Source organism: Homo sapiens, chromosome 5 (assembly GCF_000001405.40).
Source record: "Homo sapiens chromosome 5, GRCh38.p14 Primary Assembly".
Lineage (NCBI taxonomy): Eukaryota > Metazoa > Chordata > Mammalia > Primates > Hominidae > Homo > Homo sapiens.
The window spans coordinates 53,947,213-53,963,866 of NC_000005.10; the positions used below are offsets into that span (position 1 = coordinate 53,947,213).

The window sequence follows — 16,654 nt, forward strand, 5'->3', positions numbered from 1 at the left end:
TGTGTGTGTTGAGGGCTGGGAGAGAAGGAGAATTAAAGGCAGAAAATTCCCAGGTGAGGTTCCCTTCCCTGTCTGTGGATTAATAATGCCATGGTAAAAGCATACAGGTTTCTCCTTTCTCCATTAGCTGGAAAGAGATAAAAACACTTGCTGGGGGAAAGATAGGATGTGGCAAGGGAAGGAGACACCTGAGGCTGACATTCTTAGCCAAAACTAATCAAACAAATGGCTTGCAAGCACCTCCTTGAATTGGAGGAATAATCCAAAGCCCCGTATCTCACTCCTCCAGAGATATATCTGTGAATATGTAGAGCAAACCCTGATGCAGGGCATTTAATACAATTACTGAGGAAGAGCAAAGATCCTACCAACAACTGGGATTGTAGGATCCCAGCACGCAGCCCAGCTCAACTAACTCTACCTCATCTCCAGCATGTGGGTCTTCAGGTCGACTCCTCAAACTGAATGCAGCTCTGGGACTAGACCCCGAGGTCTAATTAGAGACGGTTAAAAAGCAAGACAAGGACAATTCACCAACATTAGAGAATGAAGAAAAGATCCTGAGTGAGTTGTTCATATTCAACTTAAGTTTTACAAAGAGAAAAGACTATGACAACTAAGCAGGACTCCCAGAGCAAAGAAAAAAATGAAAGAAAGGGGGAGGGCTGGGAAGGAAGCAAGAATCTAGTTTAGAAGAAAACAGCCCTCTCCACCTTCCTCCAAAAATCTCCGTGAGTGCATTACACTACAAGATTAAAGAAAATAGAAATTAAATGAGACACCAGTGGAAAAAAATGAGATAAAAAGGGAGGTTGCAGAAGGAAACAATAAATTAAACAATAACACTGTAGAACTAATAAACAAATTAGAAAGAAAAGAAATAGAATAGGCACAGGTAAAAAATAGTGACATAGCAAAAACCCTTGGAAACTTGAGATAATGACAGTGAATACGTAAGATGATGATATACAAATTAAGGCAATTTGGGAACAGAGGACAGATAATGACAAACAAATGTAAGTGTCCAAAATAAAGTTGGAACTACTGTAGTAGGTTCCTTAACAAATATTAGTAAACTTTACCCCACCTAACTCCTATCATCATGTATGTAAAAACAGTGTTTTATGGTTCTTTTGGTCTTCTATATGACTACCTACAGAAGCAAACAATAAAAATGAACTGATAGGTCTTGTAAAATTTGCCCTGATGTCTATTTTGAAGTGTTATAAATTCGGTATTTGCGTAACAGTGGTTCTCCTGGAGAAAATCATTAGAAATTTGATCCTACACCCTATTCTTATTCACTGAACAGAAAAGAGAAATCTGGAAGCAATCTGGTAATATAAAACTATTAGTTTATGCTGTTGGAGCCTTTATCTAACAAATTTCCAAAACAACTACAGTCGTTAAAATAGTGAAATTATTATTTCCAAGTGGACATATATTTTTATTAAAAGAACAATTAAGACAGTTTATTTGATATATTTTAACACTTTTCATTAACCAGGGGTCATACACTTGCTAAAATACTTTTCTGGAAGCACAGGTAATATTCAGAACAAGAGTCACAATTGTGCCCACTCAGCATTCCTTCACATTGATCAGAACTCACTTCACTGAGAAGTACTGCACTAAAGGATTTAATGAGACATGCTACTGAAACATAAATGTACATAGCCCGGAGCTGAAGGATTTTATAATAACAAACTCATACACACACAGAACCGCAAATCATTACCTTCACTGCCATTCTGAAGAGAGCTGGCACTTTAGTCGTAAAGTTTTTCCTTAAGTTTAGAAGTGTCCCTGATTGCAAATAATATTCAACAAAAAATTTATAATCTTAAAAAAGATACTGCTAAATAAAATAAAAGCTACATACTGCCTGCCACATGGAAGGTGCTTGATAAACATCAGTTAGATAAATAAGCCTCAAGACTCACAAGACAATACAATGATTTAATTCCCATTGGATATGGTATTGTGGAGGACTCTAAATTTCTGAGTCAGCACCCTTCATTTCATGTTGTTTATAGACTAGCTTTGTAACCAGTATTCTACTCAATAGCTAGAGTATTCACAAATACACTAAAATAATGAAGAATAAGCCACTGTGTAATTAAATATGAATAATGAAGACAGCACTTATAACAGTTTGACTTCTATTTCAAGTGAAAAACAGGAAGTTGCCTAAAAAGTTGCTGTGTTTAAAAATGGGTCTTTTTATGGATTTATAATACAATCAAGGGACCAACTTTTGCAGTTTGTTCTCAAATATTAGGAGATGTAGTTTCTTCATCATTTGAAATGATGACATGGAAGACAGCATGCATAAGATCAAACACCTTTTACTCAAAATACAGAATTAATGGGCTTGCTCATATTCCAAGGATGTGTCTTCTTAAACACTGGTTTGTTTCATAGTTCTAAGTTTTTTGGAGGGCCTGACTTAATCCAAAAATACTGTGGCATGCCTACAAGAGTTAACCTCTTATATTTTGAAGTAGAACAAAAAGGGAACATATATTCTGACAGGAGATTCTATCATAATCGCTCAGAACACTGAACTTTTTCAACTTGATGAAAGGTTTCTCCAAGTTAGAAATACTATAAGTAACTCTTTCCAAAAGACTGCTCGTATGTGAAGAGTGAAAAAACAAACTAAACAAAAGCAAAAACTTAGGACTAAAGACTAACAAATGCATATGAAGAAGGAAAGTGCCTTTGCTCAAGGTCATTGTGCTAACAGAATGACTTGCTTAGTTCACGTGCAGATATTTGTTGGCAAATGTTAAGCGATGCAGAAAAAAAGGCACTACATAAATGTGAAAAACAAATAAGTAAAACCATAAACATGAATGTTGTAATTTGATGATTATGTGCAAGATCAATCAAGTAGTGAAAGTATGTAGTATTCAAGTGTTTAAAGTGGCGGCCTGGGCATGGTGGCTCATGCCTGTAATCCCAGCACTCTGAGAGGCTGAGGTGAGAGAAATGCTTGAGGCCAGGAGTTCAGGACCAGCCAGGGCAACACAGTAAAACCTCGTTTCTACAAAAATTAAAAAAAAAAAAACGACTATGCTCAAGGTAGTGAGGAACCACTTCTACTAAGCCAGATGGAAATTGCTAAGAACAGAAAGACGACGATGTCATGACGGCTGGTTAACTATGGGAGCAGCTGGGGTTTGAATTTCTGTTAACAGTAGGAGAAAATAAGGACTGGAGACAGAGGGGGAATCTGAGAAATTCTCTATTTTGGTGGCTAAGCTAACACAATCTACTCACAGCTTTTTTTCATTTGATTACCATTTGAAACAGATTACTTCTCCATTTGAGGGTAATCGTGAAGCAAGATTTCAACTCATGCTCTATCACTACCCATTCCAGGCCACAAATTAAAATAGCCTATTACTACTTTTATACACACAATAAAGAGATCTTCCATCCCAATCTTCTCCATGCTTTTTTTTTTCTCAGCAAAGTTCATGTAAACCAGTAGGTCATAGTAAATCCTAAAATGTATTCCCACAGTGAGATACTTGGAACATTTTCCTTCTGGATTTTATTAAACATAATGTTCTAAGCATTATGAGTGCTCTAAGGTATTTCTTGAATAATAACCCAAACTGCAGAGTGAAAGTAAGTGGCAATTAAAATCCCGAGACAGACGGGAACACTGAGACTAAGAAATAACAGCATCTGTTCCTGACGATGGCTGGACTGCTGATCTAGCTTGGGGTCAGCAAACTTGGCCTGAGGGCCAAATCCAGCCCACTCCCTGTTTTCATATGGCCTGCAAGAGCCAAGAATGGTTTTCACAGTTTTAAATGGTTGGGGGAAAAAAATCAAAACAATATTAGCATATTAAGAACATAAAAATTAGATGAAATACAAATTTCAATGTCCATAAAGTTTCACTGAAACACAGCAAGATTCATTTGTTTATATATTGTCTATTGCAGCTGGGTATGGGAGAGCTGAGTAGCAGGGACTTTGAGTATGGCCTACAAAGCCTATATTTACAATCTGACCCTTTAGAGAAAAGGTTTGCAGACCATGAGCTTGATCAGAACTTCAAATACCATCTGTGGTGAAGGAGCTGGTTTGTTTTGAGTATTTGTTTTCTAACCCATCATAGATCTGAGCTAAGCTTTTGTAGAATACAAAAATCATATACTTTGGATGTTGCAGAGATGTCAGATTGCTATAAATTTCCTAAATGTTTACTCTCAATTTCTGTATTTATCTTCTTGCATACTCAAACAGATATTTTGTGGACTGGCACCAGTCTGCAGGTGGTTCTGTGTAGGTATTCTTTGTGTTCTTTAGATCACACAAATTTTCTAAAAGCACTGATCTAGAGAACACAAGAATACCTTCACATAACTTTTTGGAAAACCTTACTTACTCCTTCCCTATATACTCCTTCCCTATATATTTTCGATATGATGACCACTAAAAATATCAGTAAATAAATATATTGCTTTGTAAATATATTAACTAGATAAAATTATAGTTTTTCCATGAATCTTTTTCAAGCATTATGCTTTATGCTTTAAAATTATAACCAGTTTCTTCCTTACCAGCTACCACATTATATATTTTTACTGTTCTCTTAGACTTTACATAAAAGAATTTTTTTTTTTTTTTTTTTTTTTTTTACATTTTGTGCTTTGGGGAATAACTCAAATTCCATAAACAAAACTATTAGTACAAATGTTTTCTGGACAATCTGTGCTGTGATTTTGGAAATTGTGTGTGAAAGAGGAGAGTAGCTGGGCGTGGTGGCTCGCGCCTGTAATCCCAGCACTTTGGGAGGCCGAGGAGGGTGGATCATGAGGTCAGTTCAAGACCAGCCTGGCCAAGATGGTGAAACCCTGTCTCTACTAAAAATAAAAAAAATAGCCAGGCATGGTGGTGGGTGCCTGTAATCCCAGCTACTCGGGAGGCTAAGGCAGAGAATTGCTTGAACCCGGGAGGCAGAGGTTGGAGTGAGTTGAGATCACGCCACTGCACTTCAGCCTGGGCAACAGAGTGAGACTCTGTCTCAAAAATAAAAACAAACAAACAAAAAAGAAGAGAGTGAAAGAATTTGAGTCCTTGCACAGACAATAACTGTTTTTTATGTTTAAACTTTTTAGTTTCTTATGTTAAACTTTTTATGTTTAAACTTTCAAAAGGTTGAATAAATTTCATCTTATGCTTGCATTATAATAGCAAAGTTCCTTGATATGTCAAAGGCCACAAAAGTAATTTTTAGCTTAGGTACAAAACGTGCCTTGGGCCTGTTTTATATGATACTCCTTGGTTTTAGCACTACATTAAAAAAAATGAATGTGAAAAAAATCATTTCCATGAAAGTTTTTTAATTGGCTCAAAGTTAGTAGCAATTTACTTTCAAATTTCAATCTTTATCTCTCTAGGGAAATACTTAATTCTACTGCAATTTTTATTTAAGAAATGAAATAATTTCTAAACATTTTTAAACTTTAAGAAAGATGAAACTCTGTTATTGTGCCAATGACTTTTTATTATTAGGTGTCAGATGATAAAACATTCAAATAAGAAACAGCACTGGGATTTCACAGTGTCAGGAGAAAGGAAAGTCTATAAAAAGAAACTCAAGGTGTGTTTAAGTATGTGAAAAGAGCAGATAATCCCTAAACCTGTTTTATTTGAAGGCAAATAGGAAGATGCTTGCTTTATTTGTTGTTACAGAAGAATGTTGTTGCTAGCAAAGGATAAAATCTCAAAGCAGAGGGAGAGGGAATATAAAATGGCTGTAGATTAAACTTCTGCAAATGTTCACTTTACTACGCAGCTCCACTGTCATAAAACAGTCAAAATAGTAAGATATACTCATTCAGAACAATGACACAATGTTTATAAATATTTATATGTATGCTGAACTAGACCATTACTAAAAGCTGCAGCTGGGGTATAGAAAGAAAACTAGGATTTGATTGGAGGCCTTATTTTGCAAATTACTAGGCTCCATGATCTTGTGGAACTTACTTAACCTTTCTGAGTCTCAGTTTCTTATCCATAAAATAAATGAGATTCTACCTACCTCTGAAGAATTGAGGAGGATAATATACGTGTCTTGTATAAAGCACTATGCAAATGTGAGGGGTTATTGTTATTTAGTAGGGAGCTCAGAGAATCTTAATATGTATTATATTTAAATTTTCTATAAATAAGTGAACTTTTTATACAGCAAAGTAGATTGAGTTGTTTGTATATGCCCTTTCCTAATATCACTATTTCTTGAAGCAGAGAATATATTGAGGTAAATCCTCATTAGAAAATTTATTACGCAAAATTTAACCAACTGTAGTTGTGATCAGTGCTACTGATGGTCAGTGTGCTATGGGTGTGAAGCAGGAAGACCTTTTCATATGAAGAGGGTGGAGGGCAAAGGTGGTAGGGATGGGTAGAGGCAGGGGCAGGTGCAGTGGGAAATACATTTTGTAATGCCGACGCCTGAAGGAAGAGGAGGTGTCAGCCAAAGGAATGTGAGAACAAACATTTTCTATATTTAATGAGACAATCATAATTAATACGGATATATCAAAAGTTCTCTGATCCATCATAATATCTATTTGTTGATTCAAAAGTGACAAGCAATAATTATTATGTAGGAGCCTTACGCTTTAATGAATTATCTATGATCACTTAAAAACACTAGGTTTTCCATTTCAGACTAAGTAGTGAGATGGTAATAGATTTTTGTTAACCTTATACAGATGTACATTAAACATATGGTATAAGAATAGCATTCTATTTTCAAAACCTGAGATTATTGATTTTCAGATCTTTAGTTGAATATGTATCGGTACAAAGACTTCTCTGTTCCATACAAGCTATTTCTCATCTTCTACTTAAAAAAAAAAAAAAAAAAATCACCAAAGACAGGGGAGCTTTCTTGCATTCCTCTAAGTGGTAGAATTATCCTAATGTTTGGGAAATCAGTCCTGGCATCCTTTAGTCTGGATAAAACATTTGAAGAAGCATGGTATGACATACAGGCAAGGAAGACCCAGCTACTTCAGTAAGGTTGCTGTATATATCCTCTCCATCCATCATCTGCAAATACCTTCCTCTGTCTTGGGATCCAAGCCCTCTGCCAAGGTGTAGAACTTGTATACTGATTTCTCATTATTTGGAGGTGATTAAGCTAATCAGTTAATACAACAAAAGGAGAAAAATAAGGTAATTACTTTCTAAGAATATTTCCATGTTCCATAGCCCAATTCCTCACTGGATCACCTGTCCACTCCTTGAACATCATGTCCCTGCGTTTCCCACTTCCCAGCCATTTCATGTCTGCCACAGAACAGTTTCCTTTCACACCAAATGCTTGATAACCTGAAAAGTGAGTAGAAACTCATATTCAACTTTAAGAACTCATGTAAACAGGTTAGGTTATTGAGAATCCACACAGTGTTAGGCCTCTAGATCAAATATTTTACATAAATAGACTCATTTAATACTCAAAACGGTCAGTAAAATTAGGCATCATTATCCAAAGTTTGCTTCCAACATACTGCTAACTAGGACCACACTGCCTCTTTGCATAGGAAAGAACATATTCCTTTTAAAAACACTGTTCTTAAAGTGGAAACTATTTTATGGAAAGAGCATCGATCTAATTTCTGACCTCCACTCCAGTGTTTCCACATTGCACCAGCTCTTCGGTAACATATGTGCCATACTCCAACATCACTTTCTGGAATCTGCCTAAGAAATAGTTCTTTGGGTGAAAGTCTCTATACTTCTTCCAGCACTGAAATGCACATCTCCTGCTTTAGATTAACTTAATAACAATGTCTTAGTTAACTTGAAGTTCATCTAACAAACATTTATCGAGCACATTTCATGTGCCATACTAGATGGAGACCTTAAAGAACCTGCCCCTCCACCTAAGGACTGTAAGACAAAGGAAGATAGCAGCACAGCTGGAAGACTCTACACCCTTCCATTCAATCCTGATACCCCAATACTTTTCTTCCTTCAACAACAATTAGGTTACTTTAGAAAAGGATAAAATTTTCGATCTAATCACTTTTCTGCCAAGCTAATACAGTCAGATTTACCATTTCTTCTTTACAGAGATTTATAAATATATAAATATTTTGCAAAGCATACCTTGTGAGCTTACGGCAGCATTTTACTAGGATTACAACTGAAATTAAAGCTCCAAAACTGGAATAGATTTTACAGTTTAAGAAAGAATTTTTCGATAAATAAAACACACTTCTAAAACTTACAATTTAAAGTAGGGCAGGAAAGTGATGTTAGCAAAAATGGCAGAGTAGGCACCTCCAAGTGCCCCATCTCCCAAGGAAACATTCAAAATTCAAGAAAAAGCTTTGAGAATTGACATTGTTAGAACTCTGGAAAACAGACAAAGGTTTACAGCAACTAAGCAATGCCGAATCAAGAGTAAGGCAATTTAAAAATGGTAGAAAAGCACAGTAACAGTTGCATATGTTCTGGCCCAAACCTGTTTCCTGGCTCAGCAGCAGTCTTAAAGGCAACAGTCTGGATTTCCAGTGTGGGACCCTGGCGCCTGGTTCTGAAGGCTGCACAGTGTACCTTATTTACAAAGAATTGTTTTTGTCATTTCTAACTTATCTAGAGGCTACCTGAAGAACTTTGTTTCACCTAACTCAAAACACATTCGAGGTGGAAACCCTGCAGCTGCCTAGGACAAAAGATTAAAGTTGAGGCATACGAGTCCCAAAAATATGGAAAAGAAAAGCTGGAGAGAGTTGTTGTTGTTGTTGTCGTTGTTTTGAGAAAACAGGGCATTCAAAAGTGTCTATATATACTAGAGAATTTACAAAGTCATGCACATACCCACAGCATGATATACATTCAAAAAAAGACCCTGAGAGATTTTCTTCCCCCCACCCCACTTCCTCTCTCTTGCTTGTGGCTCCTGGCATTCAAGAAAATCTCTTTCAGAACACTATCTGAATGGAAGCTAAAGGAATAAAGCTATCAGAGACCACATATGATAAAGAATACATCCCTCGTTTTAATAGTTTAGAAATGTCACTAAACTAACAGCTGCAGCTTACAGCAAACAACAACAACAAAACCCTGAAGAAAAGAAAGACTGATTTCCAGGGTTACCATATTACAAAAGTCAAAATGTCCAATTTTAAACAAAAAATATATAAGGCATGCAAAGAAAGAGGAAGTATGGTCCATTCACAAAAGACCATACTTCCTCTTTCTTTGCATGCCTTATATATTTTTCACAAAAGAAATTAATAGAAATTTCACAAAAGAAATTAATAGAAATTTCCCTGAGGACCAAAGGCACTAAACTTACAGATAAAGACTTTAAGTCAGTTGTCTTACATATGCCCACAGTACTAAAGGAAACCATAGATGCACTAAAGGACATCAGGAGAATGATACATGAACAAATAGAGAATATCAATAAAGAGACAGAAATTATAAAAAGGAACCAAATAGAAAATCTGGAGCTGACATATGAACAAATAGAGACCATCAATAAAGAGATAGAAATTACAGAAAGGAACCAAACAGAAAATCTGGAGCTGAAAACTACAATGACTCAAATAAAAAGCTCACTAGAGGGTTTTAATAGCAGATGTGGGCAAGCAGAAAAAATAACCAGTGAACATGAAGATAGGTCCACTGCAATTATCCAATCTGAGGAGCAGAAAGAAAAAAGGATGAAGAAAAATGATCAGAGCCTAAAAGACCAGCTGGACACCATAACAGTATACCAACTTACACATAATGGGAAGCCCAGAAGAGAAGAGAAAGAAAAAAAATGATTTGAAGAAATAATGGCTAAAAACTCCCCAAATGTAAAAAAAAGACACAAATCTATACAGTCAAGAAGCTCGGTGAACTCCAACAAGAATCAATGCAAAGAGATCTGCACCAAAACATCTAATAATCAAATTATTGAAAGCCAAGGAATTTTGAAACAAGGTATTTTTAAAGCAACAAGATGAGAGAAGGAATTTACCACATAGAAGTGAGCTTCAATAAGACTAAGAGAAGATTTATCATTGGACACTATGGGGACCAAAAAGGAGTGGGACAACATTTTTAAAGTGCTGAAAGAATAAAAAATGTTGACCAAGAATTTCATATATGACCAAGACATCCTTAAAAAATAAAGCAGAAATTACAACATTCCCAGAAAAACCAGCACCGAGAAGGTTTGCTTTTAGTAGACCTCCCTTACCAGAAGGCTAAAGAGAGTTCTTTAGGTTGAAACAAAAGGACACTAGATAGTAAGTCAAAGCTATAACAAAGACATAAAGAATGCCGTTAAAAGTAACCAAATGGAGCCAGGCATGGTGATTTATGCCTATAATCCCAGCACTTTGGGTGAATTGCTTGAGCCCAGGAGTTTGAGACCAGCTCAGGTAACATGGCAAAAGCTTGTCTCTACAAAAAAATACAAAAATTAGCTGGGTATGGTGGTATATGCCCATAGTCCCAGCTACTCAGGAGGCTGAGGTGAGAGAATCAACTGAGCCCGGAAGGTCAAGGCTGCAATGAGCCATGATTGTACCATTGCATTCCAGCCTGGGCAACAGAGTGAGACCTTGTCTCAAAAACAGAAAAATAGTAATCAAACAGGTAAATATAAAAGCTAGTATATATTTTAAATTTGTAACTCCTCTTTTTACTTTCTACATGATTTAAAAGACAAATGTGGCCAGGCATGGTGGCTCACACCTGTAATCCCAGCACTTTGGGAGGCCAAGGCGGGTGGATCACCTGAGGTCAGGGGTTCAAGACCAGCCTGGCCAACATGGTGAAAACCCATCTCTACAAAAAATACAAAAATTAACCAGGCACGGTGGTGGCTGCCTGTAATCCCAGCTACTAAGGAGGCTGAGACAGGAGAATCGCTTGAGCCTGGGAGGAGGAGGTTGCAGTGAGTGAAGATTGTGCCACTGACTCTGTCTCAAAAAAAAGAAAAAAAAAAAAGACAAATGCAAAAAACATTTAAATAATTTTAAACATATGTTAATGGGCACAAAATATATAAATGTAATTTATGAGAACAACATAAAGAGGAGGAGAACAAAGCCGTACAGAAGCAGAGTTTTTATATGCTGTTACGTTGGTATCAAGTAAAAGTAGACTGTTAGAAATTTAGGACATTAATTGTAATCCCCATAGTAAGCACTAGGAAAATGTCTTTAAAAAATCACAAAAGGAAAAGAGAATCAAAACAATACATTCCACTAAAACATCAACTAAACACAAAAGAAGGCAGTACTGGAGGGAATGACAAAAATGTGTAAGACATACAGAAAACAAATAGCAAAAAGGTTAAGATTCTTGTTGGTAGTTACTTGAAGTATAAATGGATCAAACTCTTCAATATAAAGGCAGAGATTGGCACAATGGAGTAAAAAACATCAGGATCCAACCATATACTGTTTATAAGAAACTCACTTTAGATCCAAAGACAAACATTGGTTAAAGTGCACAGATGAAAAAAGATATTGTATGCACATAGTGACCAAAAAACAGTTGGTGTGACTAAAATAATATCAGCTAAAATGGTCAAAAAGTTTTTACAAGACAAAAAAAGATATTATGTATTGATAAAAGGGTCAATTCATCAGAAGATATAACAATTATAAACACATATGCACCAAATATCAGATCTCCAAAGTATATGAAGCCAACATTTACAAAATTGAAGGAAGAAATAGAAAATTCGACAATAATAATTGGGGACATCAATACCTCACTTTCAATAATAGAAAGAATATCTAGATGAAAAATCAGTGAGGAAATAAGAGGATTTGAACACCATTATAAACCAATTAGACCTAACAGACATACATAGAACACTCCAGCCAGTAACAGAATACACCTTCTTCTCAAGTGCATGTGGCACATTCTCTAAGACAGATCATATATTAGACCACAAAACAAGTCTCAATAAATTTAAAGTATGGTAAAAATTATTACAATTTTAAGTTTTAAAAAAATTTTGTTTCATTTTCAAATAAATGTGCTGGCTAATAAATGTATGATATTAATAAAAGATGCACTGTTAAGCCAAATGACTGCCAAGATAATACCTATGCAAATTTATGGGAGGAGAAATGAGCAAAAATCCCCCAAGGGCGCTTTTTATCTATGTGCTAGGCAATAGAGACACAATAGAGAATAAAATAAACATAAAATCCTTGCCTTCACAGAGGTCATATTTTGGTGGGGGAGATGATCAATATATCTATATTAAGAAACGAAGAGCCTAGTTTCAGGTTCTAATAAATTTTATGTAGAAGATATGCTAAGGTAACTGTGGGAGAGAGTAACCTGGAGGATTGCTTTTGCTAGGATAAAAGGGGTAACGATACTCTGCCTCTTTTCCTCTGGCACTGGCTATAGAGGTGCAGTTCTCTCTTGGGACCTATGGACTTATTATTCCTACTACTTTCTGCACTGATTTGCACCTCTTCCTGTTTTTGATCATTTGTCACCTTCTCAGTGAGGCCTTCCATGCTCGTGATCATCCAACGTTGCATTCCTCCTCCCTCCTCACTCCCTGCCCCACTGGCAACTCTCCTTCCTTTCTTCTTGCATTGTAACTCCCACACTTAGCACTATCATAGGATACATTTTACTTTGCTATCTTGTTTACTTTTTTTTTCCCTTTACTATACTGAAAGTTCCAAGACAGGAGCATGGCTTGTCCTGATCACTGCTGCATCTGTTGTGCCTGGAGCAGTGTCTGACATATAGTAGATGCTTGGTAAATATTTGTCGAAAGAATTAATGAGTGGAGATGTCAAGCAGACAGACAGATATATAAGTCTATAGTTCAAACGAAAGTGCTTGACGGGAAGATATAAGTTTGAAAGTCAAAGGAGATTAAAATGGGTATTGTTTTCTTCAACATAAAGATGTAGAAATTGGTTCATATAGGCAAATGAGTATGTACAATGATATATCATCTTCTCATTATCTCACAAGCTGAAGCAATCTAGCTGGTAGAAGAGATAAACATTTCCTGGTGCATATTCTAAAGGGATATTAACATTTGGACATTTAAAAACAAGAACACTAAAACACATAATGAAATAATCTATCCTTAACAGTGATTTTCTTATTGTGACCCTTGATGACAGCTCAGGTCACTACAAAAGTAAATGTGCTTCAGTGAAAGAATCTTACGGCCCAAACCAATGAGGCTAGGGCACAAAGATTTCCTGAGCTCTAACTTAATCTAAGGATAGAATTTAGAATACCTAATGATGTAGAGACAGCTTGTCCTCCTTTCTATTCTGTTGTGACAGGAGCATTCAGTTCAAGGTTGATCTCTCTTGTGGTTATTTTGTATTGCTGAGTAAAGAGACGTCAAGATGTTTTGTAAAATAGGTGCCCAAGTTGCAAGACTGAAATTTCATCATATAAATATCAATATGTCTGACTTGTTTTCTTGCCAGATAAGTAGCCACTTCACCTCTTTGTGGAGGTGAGGGTTAAGTGATTCTTCCAAAGTCACAGCTAGTGGCAGAGATGGGGCTTGACCTCAGGTCTCCGAACTCCCAGCTCAGAGTATTCCACTTTCAATCCTCTGTGCCTTTTATACTCACATATTAAAAGATAACAGGTCACATTTCTGGAACACTGTGGGTGGGATCCTGAGGCTGTCTTTATTTGTAACCTTCTCTAAAGCACCTATCACTGCAGGAAACAGAAGAGGCTTGTTTTTGTCAGGGTTTCTTGTATCTTGTCCTTGTACCACATGGTCCAAATGTTAGGGCTCTAGGCATCTGCCCTTCCCTTTAGTTTCTCTATCTACATCCAGTTGTGGACTGGGGAATACCAAAGATAAATAGGAAATAGGATAACTGCTTCTATATGAAACAAGGTTATGGTTAGGCTTGAAATTTTTTAAATCGCTGTTTAGATTAGGAAAAACATTAATAAGTAGAGTCATAGACTTTAGAAATAATTATATATACAAGGATCAAGCATGTGATCTTAAAAACAACAAAAAATTATTTCCTTGGGGGGCCAAGGTGGGTGGATCACCCGAGGTCAGGAGTTCGAGATCATCCTGGCCAACATGGTGAAACCCCATCTCTACTAAAAATACAAAAATTAGCCAGGTATGGTGGCACACGCCTGTAGTCCCAGCTACTCGGGAGGCTGAGGCAGGAGAATTGCTTGAGCCTGGGAGGTGGAGGTTGCAGTGAGCCAAGGTAGTACTATCGCACTCCAGTCTGGGTGACAGAGAGACTCTGTCTCAAAAAAAAAAAAAAAAAAAAAAAAATCATTCCCATTGATTGATTTTATATTTTAAAATTTACTAGTTGTTTGTGATGCAAAAACCACTTTTAAAAGAAAGAAGCTGTACCTAATCCCATCATCCAAATGGTTGAAGTGAACATTAAATTTTAAAAAGGGGGAGAAATACACACATAGGTTTAGAAAATTCCAACAGTAGAGAAAGGCATGAAACATAAATTAATTATTCTTACTTGTATGTATTATATTTCTGTGTTTCCTTCCAGAACAAAATATCTTTTATGTTATAGGAGTCTGTGTTGGCATGTATTAATTTAATGTATGTCTATAATATACACAAAACAACCCATATTGTTCAGACTTCTATAGCTTGCCTTTTTTGACTATTTTATCCTGAAGGTCTTTCGATAGCAGCACATATTTTTTCAGGGAGCATATGGAGTTCTATACTACAGATGTAATGTAATTAATTCAACCAGTTCCCTACTGATAGGCATTTAGGTTATTCCCAGTTTGTTACTATTATTAGCAACACTTTAATGAACATCTTTGTACATACAGCTTGGTGTACTTTCACAAGTATATTCTTAGGGGAAACTACTGATGGTAAGAGTATAGGATAAAAGGGAATGTGCATTTACAATGTTGACAGGTATTACCAAATTGTTCCCTAACATCCTTGGACAATTTGTACTCTAGCTAACAGTTGGAGACCATAATATCCATAATACTTTTAATCAACAGGTACATAAAATAAAAAGTATGATGTAAATATAAATTATACTTGTGTATTCTATCCCATGTACTCCATCTCTGGGGCTACCATGATTTATACAAGTAATTACCATTAAGTATAATATAACATATCTGGAACTTTATGTTACCAAACAACATTAATTCACTGAGAAAACAATTCATAGTCATTGCTATAGAATCTTCCATAATAATGATCCTGGGAGTTGGAAGCCAGCTCCAATTATCAATAATTGGAACCATACAAGAGTGTGTTGTGTGTGTCACTTTTTGAACAGTAAGTTTCATTTCGAAATCTATCTGAATCAGCTTGTAAAACCTCAAAACCAAAACATTTGTTCATCATCTCTATGCAAGGATTGATCAGAAATATATAGTAAATGTATACTCTATTTTCCTCAAAAGTAATGAGAAATAATTCATAGTAGTGTTCTAGTTAAATGATGTGAACAGATTTCATCATTTAACTTTGGTTCATTTAAACTGGATCAAAGGCCTAAAGGATATATGAAAATTTTGAATTTTAAATTATGAAGACAATTGTCCTATGGATATTAGAAGAAAGGAAACAGAAGGCAGTGGTTAGAAAAGAGTTATCAAAATAAGGTTTTTTTATTTTTATTTTTTTTTAAGTGAGGGCTGTAAAACTAATCTCAGCTTCTTTCTTTACAAGTTATGTGACTTCAGAGAAAATACTTAACTCTCCAGGCTTTAAATGAGGTAATGAAAACATTTAGTCCAGTACCTGGCACCTCGATAGTACCACATGAATGTGAACTGCTATTAATCTACAGCCTCTATTACCCCATTATTAACAGTAGGTCTGAAAAAATAGAAAAGAATGTCTCCTAGGATATAGACAAAAAGGTAATAAAGGATGGGAAGAATTTGAGAGTAGATGTTTACTACCTAATTAGCACATTTATCCCCTTTCTCAAGTGAACAATGAACGTGTTATCTCCAAAGAAGCAGATCACAGTGCAAGACTGTCAGATTTCCACATTATGATTTTGGTTTTCCAAAACTTTTGCAGACTTTGGCATGGTAAAAATACATCTTGAAAGCCTTATTCTGGAACTGAAGAATTTAAGTTAGTCTGCTTTGGGTGAAAAACAGTGTTTCCCAGTAGGAGCCAGCACAGAAACTCATAGGGTCTTCTGACATGAAAGGCAAGTTTCAGCTTTATTTCTTCACCCAATTTTATGAATTTCATAAAAAATAAATTCATACAAAATGAAAATTCAAGAATATAAAATTGACTCTAAAATATAACTGATGGCTGGGCGCAGTGGCTCACGCCTGTAATTCCAACACTTTGGGAGGCCAAGACGGGTGCATCACCTGAGGTCAGGAGTTCAAGACCAGCCTGGCCAACATGGTGAAACCCTGTCTCTACTAAAAATACAAAAATTAGCTGGGCATGGTGGTGGACACCTGTAATCCCAGCTTCTCGGGAGGCTGAGGCAGGAAAATCCCTTGAACCTGGGAGGTGGAGGTTGCAATGAGCCAAAATTGTGCCATTGCATTCCAGCCTGGGAGACAAGAGTGAAACTCCATCACACACACACACACACACACACACACACACACACACACACACATACACAGAGTAACTTGA

The 16,654-nt window shown here is 36.1% G+C and overlaps 1 protein-coding gene and 1 non-coding gene across 10 annotated transcripts in view; both read right to left on the reverse strand.

Annotated features, from left to right (window-relative positions):
* The window catches only part of ARL15 (ARF like GTPase 15), a 426,632-nt gene that overhangs the window by 63,271 nt on the left and 346,707 nt on the right, over positions 1–16,654 (reverse strand). The window contains exon 5 of one of the 9 annotated variants that reach the window (XM_047417340.1): positions 5,510–7,368. The exons of the other annotated variants lie outside the window; for them this stretch is intronic. Coding sequence (XP_047273296.1) covers positions 7,348–7,368 — 21 coding nt within the window. The 3' untranslated portion in view covers positions 5,510–7,347. Of the gene's footprint in view, positions 1–5,509; positions 7,369–16,654 lie in introns of those variants that run through there. 9 annotated transcript variants of the gene reach the window in all.
* MIR581 (microRNA 581) lies at positions 4,292–4,387 on the reverse strand. Its single transcript, NR_030307.1, has one exon. It is a non-coding gene; the product is annotated as a microRNA 581 (primary transcript).